Source organism: Homo sapiens, chromosome 5 (genome assembly GCF_000001405.40).
Source record: "Homo sapiens chromosome 5, GRCh38.p14 Primary Assembly".
Lineage (NCBI taxonomy): Eukaryota > Metazoa > Chordata > Mammalia > Primates > Hominidae > Homo > Homo sapiens.
This window is the reverse complement of record NC_000005.10, coordinates 76,761,239-76,773,677: the sequence shown is the minus strand read 5'-3', so window position 1 is coordinate 76,773,677 and position 12,439 is coordinate 76,761,239. Positions and strand designations below refer to the sequence as shown.

The following is a 12,439-nucleotide window of genomic DNA, read 5'->3' as shown; positions in this document are numbered from 1 at the left end:
GTTTTTGTTTTTTCAGTTCCTTACTTGCTTTATATATTGCCTGGAATCCAGTATATTTCTTCTTGCAAGTAAGTATTCCTGCAGCCCACAGACATTCGTTTGTGTTTTTCTTTCTTTCTTTTTTTTTTTTTTTTTTTTTTGAGACGGAGTTTTTCTCTTGTTGCCCAGGCTGGAGAGGCTGGAGTGCAGTGGCGCAATTTCGGCTCACTGCAACCTCTGCCTCCCGGGTTCAAGCGATTCTCCTGCCTCAGCCTCCTGAGTAGCTGGAATTACAGGCGCCCGCCACCATGCCCAGCTAATTTTTTGTATTTTTAGTAGAGATGGGGTTTCACCATGTTGGCTAGGCTGGTCTTGAACTCCTGATCTCAGGTGATCCATCCGCCTCGGCCTCCCAAAGTGCTGGGATTACACACATGAGCCACCACACCCGGCCCTCGTTTGTGTTTTTCATTCCTTTTTTTTTTTTTTTTTTTTTTTTTTTTTGAGATTGAGTCTCATTCTGTCGCCCAGGCTGGAGTGCAGTGGCACGATCTTGGGTCACTGCAACCTCTGCCTCCCAGGTTCAAGCACTCCTCCTGCCTCAGCCTCCCCAGTAGCTGGGACTACAAACACACACCACCATGCCCAGCTAATTTTTGTATTTTTGGAAGAGACAGGGTTTCACTATGTTGGCCAGGCTGGTCTCGAACTGCACCTCATGATCTGCCCGCCTCGGCCTCCCAAAGTGCTGGGTTTACAGGCGTGAGCCACGCAACTGGCCTGTTTGTTTTTTTGAGATGGGGTCTCTGTTGTCCAGGCTGGACTTGGCTCACTGCAGCCCCAACTTCCCGAGTTCATGTGATCCTCCCACTTCAGCCTCCCTAGCAGCTGGCACTACAGGTGTGCGCCACCAACCTGGCTAATTTTTTTGTATTTTTGGTAGAGATGGGGTTTCACCATGTTGCCCAGTCTTGTCTCGAACTCCTGGGCTCAAGCGATCTGCCTGCCTTAGTCTCCCAAAGTGCTGGGATTATAGGCGTGAGCCACCAAGCCCGGCCTGACATCTGACATTTGTTATAATTTGTATAGCTCTCAACCTGGCTTGTTTCTTCATTGCCTCATATTTTTCTTTCTCAATTTCCTCCCCCACTCCACTCCCCGCTCCTTTTTTTTTTATTGAAGTGCATCCTCAAGGAACTTCATTAAGAAAGAGTATGTAGTAAGTAAACGTGCTGAATCCTGGCAGTTTGAAAATGTCATTATCTGCCTTTACTTTTGATACCTGGTTTAGATGATAAGGAATTCTAGGTCCTAAAAAATTATCCACAGCATTTTGAAAATCTCGGTGTTTAGCATCCTATTTTCAGTCCCTTTCTCTGTTTTCCTCTCCTCTCATGCAGACTCCAGTCCACACCCTGTCTGGGCGGAGAAGTCTCACTCCTCCAGAGTCTGCTCCCACACATAACCCCCTACTCCACTCCCTCTGTCTACAATTCATGTTCTCTTTTCATCTCCCAGAAATGTGTTGAAATCTCTCAACTGCTGATGCCCAAATCATGCCTCATCATCTTTGTGACTATGGATTTATACTCTTTTAAATTCTTTATCGCTTCATTAGTATCTTAAGAAGAATGACAAACCTACATGCTAAGTTTACCTTCTTGAATTGGAATCTGTTTTATATAAATATAGGTTGTTGGGGTTTTTTTTTGCCTTTTTATTTGTTTTCATAAATACAAGTACTGTGTTTAACTCTGTTTTGCTAAATACACACAAACTATTGCTACCATGTTTACATAGCAGTTTTGCAAAGTTAACTAGGTTCTTTGAATATTTGGAGTTACAGTACTGACATATTAACTGGTGGTTAAAGGTGAAAAAGAGGAATATAAAGGGGCTATACTTACTGTAAGTTAGAGGCTACAGCCCAAATTATTTTTGAGAGCAAGCATTTATTAATCCACAGCTTCCTGGAGCTGTACTCTGTATAGAAAAATTAGTATTCCTATTCCTAACAAGTTTCCAAGAGCAGGACAGATACAAGCATTTATACCAGCAAGTAGAGAGCAACCCCAGTCAGAAATAAATAATGTCAATTAGCAAAGTCATTATGATTCACAGCCCCTTTTTCTTTTTTTTTTAATATCATTTCAACTTTTACTTTAGATTTAGGGAGTACGTGTGCAGGTTTGTTCCAAGGGTATAGTGCATGATGCTGAGGTCTGGAGTACAATTGATCCCCTCATGCAGTTAGTGAGCGTAGTACCCAATAGTGTTTGTTGTTGTTGTTGTTGTTGTTGTTGTTTTTGAGACAGAGTCTCACTCTGTCACCCACGCTGGAGTTCAGTGGCACAATCTCGGCTCACTGCAACCTCCGCCTCCTGGGCTTAAGCGATTCTCTTGCCTCAGCCTCCCAAGCAGCTGGGCCTAAGGCACGCGCCACGGTGCCCGGCTAATTTTTGTATTTTCAGTAGACAAGGGGTTTCCCCATGTTGGCCAGGCTGGTCTCAAACTCCTGACCTCAGATGATCCGCCTGCCTAGGCCTCCCAAAGTGTTGGGATCACAGGCGTGAGCCACTGCGCCCAGCCTCAGTAGTTCGTTTTTTCACCCTTCTCTCTCCCTACCTCCTCCCACCCAGTAGTTCCCAGCGTCTATTGTTCCTATCTTTATGTCCTTGTGTACCCAATGTTTAGCTCACACTTATAAGTGAGAGCATGTGTTACTTGGTTTTCTGTTCCTGTATTAATTCGCTTAGGATAATAACCTTCAGCTTCCTCCATGTTGCTGCAAAGGACATGATCTCATTCTTTCTTATGGCTGCATAGTATATGTGTATATAAAAAAGAATAAGATCATATATGTACCACATATACACAATACTATATGTGTATTTGTACCACATTTTCATTATCCAGTGCACGGTTGATGGGCACCTAGGTTGAGTCCATGTTTTTGCTACTGTGAATCATGGTGTGATGAACATACGAGTGCATGTGTCTTTACGGAAGAATGATTTATTTTCTTCTGGATGTATACCCAGTAATGGGATTGCTGGGTTGAATGGTAGTTCTAAGTTCTTTGAGAAATCTCCAAACTTTTTTCCATAGTGACAACTAATTTACATCCCCACTAATAGTGTATAAGCATTCTCTTTTCTCCATAGCCTTGCAAGCATCTGTTATTTTAGGATTTTTTTTTTTTTTTTTTTTTTAAGACAGAGTCTTGCTTTTGTGGCCTAGGCTGGAGGTGCAATGGTGTGATCTCAGCTCACCACAACCTCCACCTCCCAGGTTCAAGCAATTCTCCTGCCTCAGCCTCCAGTGTAGCTGGGATCACAGGCATGTGCCACCACACCCGGCTAATTTTGTATTTTTAGTAAAGACGGGTTTTCCATGTTGGTCAGGCTGGTCTTGAACTCCTGACCTCAGGTGATCCACCCGCCTCTGCCTCCCAAAGTGTTGGGATTACAGGTGTGAGCCACTGTGCACGGCCATTTTATGACTTTTTAATAATAGCCATTCTGACTGGGGTGAGATAGTATCTCATTGCACTTTTTATTTGCATTTCTCTGATTATTCGTAATATTGAGCATTATTTTTTCATGTTTGTTGGCTGCTTGTATATCTTCTTTTGAGAAATGTCTATTCATGTCCTTTGCCCACTTTTTTTTTTTTTTTCTGTGACGGAGTCTCGCTTTGTCGCCCAGGCTGGAGTGCAGTGGCGCGATCTTGGCTCACTGCAACCTATGCCTCCTGGTTTATGCCATTCTACTGCCTCAGCCTCCTGAGTAGCTGGGATTACAGGTGCCCACCACCACCACACCCAGCTAATTTTTTGTATTTTTAGTACAGACGGGGTTTCAGCGTGTTAGCCAGGATGGTCTCGATCTCCTGACCTCATGATCTGCCCGCCTCGGCCTCCCAAAGTGCTAGGATTACAGGCGTGAGCCACCGTGCCCAGCCTTCTTTTTTTTTTTTGAGATGGAGTCTCACTCACTCTGTTGCCCAGGCTGGAGTGCAGTGTGTGATCTTGGCTGACTACAACCTCCACCTCCCATACCTCCACCTCCCGTGTTCAAGCGATTCTCCCGCCTCAGCCTCCCCAGTAGCTCAGATTACAGGTATGCACCACCATGCCCTGCTAACTTTTGTATTTTTAGTAGAGACAGTGTCTTGCCATGTTGGCCAGGCTGGTCTCAAACTCCTGGCCTCAAGTGATCCGCCTGCCTAGGCCTCCCAAAGTGCTGGGATCACAGGCATGTGCCACAGTGCCCAGTCCTTTGCCCACTTTTTTTTTTGAGACAGACTTTCGCTCTTGTTACCCAGGCTGGAGTGCAATGGAGTGATCTTGGCTCACCACAACCTCTGCCTCATGAGTTCAAGTGATTCTCCTGCCTCAGCCTCCCGAGTAGCTGGGACTACAGGCATGTGCCACCATGCCCTTGCCCACTTTTAAATGGGGTTGGCTTATTGAATTGTTTAAGTTCCTTATAGATTGTATTTTTGTTTTTTTGAAACAGGGTCCTGCTCTGTCACCCAGGCTGGGGAGCAGTGGCACGATCATAGCTTACTGCAGCCTCAAACTGAGCTCAAGCGATCTTGCTGCCTCAGCCTCCCAACTAGCTGGGACTACAGGCATGTGCCACCACGCTTGGCTCCTTATAGATTTTGGATATTAGACCTTTGTCAGATGCACGGTTTGCAAATATTTTCTCACATTCTGTAAGTTGCCTGTTTACTCTGTTGATAGTTTCTTTTGCTGTGTAGAAGCACTTTAGTTTAATTAGGCTTCGCTTGTTAATTTTTGTTGCCATTGCTTGAGGACTTAGTCAAAAATTCTTCCCCAAGGCCAATGTCCAGAATGGTGTTTCCTAGGTTTTCTTCTGGGATTCCTATAGTTTAAGGTCTTACATTTAGATTTTTCATCTATCATTAATTTTTGTGTGTAATGAAAGGTAAGGGTCTAATTTCATTCTGCATGTTGCTAGCCAGCTATCCTAGCACTGTTTATTGAATAGGGAGTCTTTCCTCATTACTTGTTTTTATTGACTCTGTTGAAGATCAGATGGCTGTAGATGTGTGGCTTTATTTCTGGGATATCTATTCTGTTCCACTGGTCTGCATATACTGTTTCTGTACCAGTACCGTGCTGTTTTGGTTACTGTATCCTTATAGTATATGATGTCAGGTAATGCAATGCCTCCAGCTTTGTTCTCTTTGCTTAGGATATTGCTTTAGCTATTCAGGCTCTTTTTTGATTCCATATGAATTTTACAATAGTTTTTTTCTAATTCTGTGAAAAATGATGTTGGTAGTTTGATAGGAATAACGTTGAAACTGTAGATTGCTTTGGGCAGTATGGACATTTAAATGCTATTAATTCTTCCAATCCATGAGCATGGAATGTTTTTCCATTTGTTTGTGTCATCTCTGATTTCTTTCAGCAGTGTTTTGTAGTTCTCCTGATAGAGAGCTCTCACCTTGATTAGATGTATTCCTGGGTATTTTGTGTGTGTGTGGCTATTGTAAATAGGACTGCATTCTTGATTTGGCTCTCAGCTCGAACATTATTGGTGTATAGAAATGCTACTGATTTTTGTGCATTGATTTTGTATCCTGAAACTTTACTGATGTTGCTTATCAGTTCTAGGAGCCTTTTGGCAGTCTTTAGGGTTCTCTAGGTATGTAATCATATCATCAGTGAAGAGAGATAGTTTGACTTCTTTTCCCATTTGGATGCTTTTTATTTATTTTTTTGTTTGATTGCCCTGCATAGGCCTCTTTCATTGTCAAGTCTAATAATATGCTTATGTGAACAAAAGTCTGTCTTAATAAGATAGTTATGACCATACAAGAAGGACAGTATTACTCAGGAGGCTGAGGCAGGAGAACTGCTTGAATCTGGGAGGCAGAGGTTGCAGTGAGCTGAGATCGTGCTACTGCACTCTGGCCTGGGTGACAAAGCAAGACTCTGTCTCCAAAAAAGAAGAAGAAAAAAAAGGACAATGTTACTTGGGAGGCTGAGGCAGGAGAATCACTTGAACCTAGGAGGCAGAGGTTGCAGTGAGCCAAGATCATGCCACTGCACTCCAGCCTGGGTGACTCTGTCTCCAAAAAAAAAAAAAAAAAAGGCAATGTTTAGTCTTCCAGAGTTATGTATAAATTTTATGTATCTTACCTCCCTTCAAAGATTGATGATTAGTTGGTGTTTTCATATTATTTAGGCACAGAATATTACTTGAGATCAACGATAGTTGGTCTTTACATCACAGCTATAAGTAATATAAGAACTATAAATATTATAAGATCCATAGCTCTATAGGCTAATAGGTCATTTTTGATGTATTTACTTTTTGGTCAGTTATTATCTAACTTTTGTAGGGTGTCTACTTTATGCTTTGCAGTTTTTGGTTTTTGTATTTTTTGTAGAGACGGGGTTTCGCCATGTTGGCCAGGCTGGTCTCGAACTCCTGGCCTCAAGTGATCTGCCCACCTCAGCCTCCCAAAGTGTTGGGATTACAGGTGTGAGCTACAGTGCCCAGCTTATGCTTTGCATTTTGATAGAATTACTAGATGATATTAAACCAAATAAGACCCTGCCCTCAGGAGTTTACTTTGATCTCTTCAAATTTTTTCCTGATATATTTTGTTTTTAAATGTTCATTGTGACTCACAGAGTTGATTTCATGACTCATTAATGAATCATACATATAATGTGAAAAACATTGATAAAGAGACATTTGTGCCTTCTGCTGTGTTGGTGACTTCAGTATGTCTGCTTGATCATGAAAGAAACTAGCTGGTCTGTTAGACAGAGGGATTGTACAGAAACTTCTCGGAGTGGTAGGAATATATCTTAGATTTTCATTTCAGATACTTTTGATGGCAAGAGTTTTTAAGAGTGCCAGTTATGGACTGAACTAGTGAAGATCCAGTGAGGCTTTTTCCGTGGCTAGCTCAACTATCAAGTTGGAGTTGTCTGTCTGTCTGTCTGTCTGTCTGTCTCTCTCTCTCTCTCTCTCTCTATATATATATATATATTTTTTTTTTTTTTTTCTTTTTTAGACAGAGTTTCACTTTTGTTGCCCAGCCTGGAGTGCAATGGCACCATCATCTCAGCTCACTGCAACCTCCGCCTCCTGGGTTCAAGCGATTCTCCTGCCTCAGCCTCCCGAGTAGTAGCTGGGATTACAGGCATGCGCCAACACTCCCGGCTAATTTTGTATTTTTAGTAGAGATGGGGTTTCTCTATGTTGGTCAGGCTGGTCTCGAACTCCCGACCTCAGGTGATCCACCTTCCTCTGCCTCCGAAAGTGCTGGGATTACAGGTGTGAGCCACAGCGCCTGGCCTGACAATATATTTTTATGGAACTTTCTTGGAATGCATCTTTTACCTCCAGCCCAATTGCCACAACCTGGCAGGTCCAGCGCTGCAAACCTCACATCTCACCCGTGGAGAGGCAGTTCAACTCACCCCCCATTCCCTCTGCAACACCACTTCTGGCCTCTGATCTCTCCAATTAGAGCAGTGGTCTATGGATGAACTAGCAGAGGTTTGCTACTTTTCTGTAAGAATATCTGAATATCGTGTTTCATGTTGATAATATATATGTTGTATGTTTGAAACAGAGTTTCACTCTTGTTGCCCAGGCTGGAGTGCCATGGCGCGATCTCAGCTCACCACAACCTCTGCCTCCCGGTTCAAGCAATTCTCCTGCCTCAGCCTCCAGAGTAGCTGAGATTACAGGCACATGCCACCATACCCGGATACTTTTTTGTATTTTTAGTAGAGACAAGGTTTCACCACGTAGGCCAGGCTAGTCTTGAGCTCCTGACCTCAGGTGATCCACCCGGCTCGGCCTCCCAAAGTGTTGAGATTACAGGCGTGAGCCACTGCACCTGGCCTGTGTCCTGTCTTTTCAACTGGTAGTTGGATGGGGATGCAATTTGTGCTTGAAGAAGATAGAGACCCAGGACTCTGTACCCCCTTCCTGAGAACCTGACAGAGGTCTCCAAAAGGTTAGACTCACACCCTGCACAACCTCAAGTCCATGCCATATCAGGGGCCAAAGTCAAGCCACTGCTTCTCCAGAGCAAGCCAGCTCATTCAAATGCTAACTAAATATTCCCTAAAAGAAACTGACCCCAAGAATGAGATTCTTTCCTAAGTTAGGTCATCTGAAGAGTGGTTTATTGAAAACCATGTGAACTCTGACTTGAACGAATGACCTTCTGAATAATATGCACTTTGTGGGATGGAAACTCATGGCTTTAAAAATGAATCTTGGCAGAGTTTTCTGTGTTAACAGTATTTTTGCTTGGCCTGAGTCTGTAAGACGTGCAGCTTGAAACATTCCTTATCCTGTTACAAATCAGGTAGAGAGTGACTGAGAACTCAAGAGATCAGTTCCAAACGAATCTAAACAATAGCCAGACATAGTACTCCTTGTGGATGTCACAAAGTGGATCTGATCTTACATTCTTTTGATGCTTTGTTATTTCTTTGTTTTACAAAGAAATAGACACCATGAGAGTTTACCAAGTACAAAGTATGTGAAGTGTTACATAAAACTAAACTTATAGAACAGACCAATAATAAGTAAGGAGATTAAATCAGTAATAAAAATCTCCCATGAAAGAAAAGACCAGGACCTGATGGCTCTACTGCTGAATTCTACCAAACATTTAAAGAATAACTAAAATCAATATTTCTGAAACTCTTCCAAAAAATTAAAAAGGAGGGAATATTTCCAAACTTACTTTACGAGCATTACCCTGATACCAAAGCCAGCCAAATATAATAAAAGAAAAGAAAATTATAGGTCAATATCCCTCATGAACATAGACACAAAAATCCTCAACAGAATACTGCAAATCAGATTCAACAGCACATTATAAGAATCATTTGGCCAGGTGCAGTGGCACATGCCTGTAGTGCTAGCTAATTAGTAGTGCTGGCTAATTTGGAGGCTGAGGTGGGAGAATAGCTTGAACTCAGGAGTTCAAGCGCAGACTGGGCAACATGACGAGACCCTCATCTCTAAAAAAAAAAATAGTTCACTATGATCAAGTGAAATGTATCCCTGGAATGCAAGGATGGTTAAACATATGTAAATTAATGAATGTAATATGTTACACTGCATTAACAGAATGACAGAATGAAGGATAAAAACCATATAATCTTCTCGATAGATGCAGAAACAGTGTTTGACAAAATCCAACATCCTTTCATAATAAAAGAATTCTCAACAAATAGGTATAGAAGGAATGTACTTCAATACAATAAAGTCCATATATGACAAGTTCACAGTTAACATCTTATTCACTGGTGAAAAGTTGAAAGCCTTTCCTCTAAGATCAGAAACCAGAGAAGGATGCCCATTCTTGTCACTTCTATTCAATATAGTACTGGAGGTCCTAGCAAGAGCAATTAAATAAGAGAAAGAAATAAGAGGCATCCAAATCAGAAGGAAGAAGTAAAATTGCCTGTTTGCAAACAACATGGTCTTATATATAGAAAACCCTAAAACATCATGTTATACCCCATAAATATAAAAAATGTTTGCCAATTAGAAAATATATAGTAATAATTTTAAAAAAACCCAAATCACAAAAACTAAATCTACAGACCCAGGTCTTATCTGTTAGGAATTTATAGTTCTAACCCAACAGAAGTTGCTATTCTCCTTCCTTCCCTCTCTCATCCTTTTTTCTTTCCTTCCTTCCTTCAAGATAATTTTACTAAGTCTGAGTGGAAGCATGGAGGAAGATGAAATAAGTCATATTCTTTATTGGGTGGTTTTTTTGATTGTTTTTTGACAAGGTCTCTCTCTGTTGCCCAGGATGGAATGCAGTAGTATGATAATGGTTCACTACAACCTCCACCTCCTGGGCTCAAGCAATCCTCCCACTTCAGCCTCCCATGTAGCTGAGACTACACACGCATACCACCACACCCAGCTAATTTTTGTATTTTTTGTAGAGATGAGGTTTTCCCATGTTGCCCAGGCTAGTCTCGAACTCCTGACCTCAGGCGATCCACCTGCGTTGGCCTCCCAAACTGTTGGGATTACAGGCATGAGCCACTGTGCCTGGCCAAAAGTGTCATTTAAAAATACCATTTTAAAAAGGCTTCGGAAAAGCAATTCTGGTAGAAATCCTGTTGTCAGCATGAAGGTGGGTTAGCTTCTCTGAAAACAGGCCCAGTTTTATTTACAAGACAAACATGGAACAGAGCAAATGTCAGAACAAAGCCAGGAGACATGTTGCCACTGGCCCTATCTCTCACTAATTGGATATTTGTGGCCTTGAGTTGTTAAAATCCACCCCTACCACTTCCTGTCAAGGAGGACTGTACCCTAGATGGTGGCTGAGGTCACTCATCTTTCTACATCCTGCAAGTACATGCAAGGCAGGATTCTGAGAGATAATGACTGCCAACCCTCTGGTGGAGACATTAATACCACTACTGTCCTCAGTTGCTGCTGGAGAAGGCAGTCCATGAGCTGCAGAGGGGAGAAGGCAGAGAACTGAGGGCAGTGGTAATGCTTGCCCCCAGGTACCCATGAAGCTGAACCCAAATTTTTCACTCTGACCCTCACGCCTCACTTCTCTTTTTGTTTGGAATTAATGAAAATACCTGCTTATGTCTTCATTCAGCATAGCTCCTGTCTCTTTCTTCAGGTTTGTGGGGCACCAAGATATGGAAATCCTTGGCCTCGCTGTGCTTATTTGAAGCCAAGAGGCTTGAAGACAATCATGACTGTAGCTGGATTCAATCTTCTAAAAGATGAAACTGGAAAAAAGCTGCAAAAGCACAGCCTTTACAGCCACAAAATGCAACATCTGGAGAAAAAGAGGATACCTCTTTCTCTTAAAATAAGTGGGGGTCCTTCCCAGAAGTTTTTAGGACACCTCTTCGGTGTCTCATTGGCCTGAATTAGGGCACATCCCCATTCCTGGATAACCAATGGGCCGGGGCTGGATTACTTTTAGGTTTATCAGGCCCATTCCTGCATTTGGGGATGAGGTCAGCCTTCCTTGAAATACACAGGCTGTGTGGGGAGGAGATAACTTCAAAACACTTGCTAAAAATTAGAGAACTGTTAGGAAGAGAAAAGAGAAGAATGGGTGTTGGCCTAGTAACCAAAAATGTCCACCATAACTTTCTTAGATATCCTTTCAGGATTTTTTTCTTTCTTTCTTTTTGAGATGGAGTCTCACTCTGTCACCTAGGCTGGAGTGCAGTGTAGTGATCTCGGCTCACTGCAACCTCTGCCTCCCAGGTTCAAGTGATTCTCCCACCTCAGCCTCCTGAAGTAGCTGGGATTACAGGCGCACACCACCATGCCCAGCTAATTTTTTTGTATTTTTAGTAGAGATGACATTTCACCATGTTGGCCAGGCTGGTCTGTAACTCCTGACCTCAAGAGATCCACGCACCTCCGCCTCCCAAAGTGCTGGGATTACAGGTGTGAGCCACTGCACCCAAGCTGTTTTTGTTTTTGTTTTTTTTTTGTTTTTGAAAGAGTCTCACTCTGTCACCCAGGCTAGGTTGCAGCAGCACAATCACAGCTCACTGCAGCCTCATCCTCTGGGGCTCAAGAGATCCTTGCATCTCAGCCTCTTGAGTAGCTTGGACTACAGGTGTGCATCACCACACCCAGCTAATTAAAAATATTTTTAGATTAGAAATACTAATCAGGCTCTCACTATGTTGGCCAGACTGGTCTCTAACTCCTGGGCTTAAGTGATCCTTCCACCTGAGCCTCCCAAAGTGCTGGGATTACAGACATGAGCCACCATGCCTGGCCCTTTTCAGGAAATTTTATCTGGTGTTCCTTGTTCTATCATGCACTGTATTAGTCTGTTTGCACGCTGCTGATAAAGACATACCTGAGACTGGGCAATTTACAAAGGAAAGAGGTTAGACTTACAGTTTCACGTGGCTGGGGAAGCCTCACAGTCATGGTGGAGGGCAAGGAGGAGCAAGTCACATTGTATGTGGATGGCGGCAGGCAAAAAATGAGAGAGCTTATGCAGGGAGACTCCTGGTTTTTCGTTTGTTAATTTGTTTTGTTTGAGACAGAGTCTCACTCTGTCGCCCAGGCTGGAGTGCAGTGGCATGATCTCAGCTCACTGCAACCTCCGCCTCCCAGGTTCAAGTGATTCTCCTGACTCAGCCTCCTGAGTACCTGGGATTACAGGTGCCTGCCACCATGCCTGGCTAATTTTTTGTATGTTTAGTAGAGATGGGGTTTCAACATGTTGGCCAGGCTGCTCTCAAACTCCTGACTTCAGGTGATCCACCCGCCTCGACCTCCCAAAGTGCTGGGATTCCAGGCATGAGTCACCGTGCCTGGCGAGACTCCTGTTTTTAAAACCATCACATCTCGTAAGACTTATTCACTATCACGAGAACAGCACGGCAAAGACCTGCCCCATAATTCAATTACCTCCC

At 43.0% G+C, this 12,439-nt stretch overlaps 1 annotated feature.

Moving 5' to 3' along the window:
- Window positions 319-818: an enhancer, noted in NCBI's record as "H3K27ac hESC enhancer chr5:76068685-76069184 (GRCh37/hg19 assembly coordinates)". NCBI's record gives its function as "activates a minimal SCP1, AML or CMV promoter by ChIP-STARR-seq in naive H9 embryonic stem cells {active_cell/tissue: H9 hESC(naive)}" and the evidence as "EXISTENCE:reporter gene assay evidence [ECO:0000049][PMID:30033119]".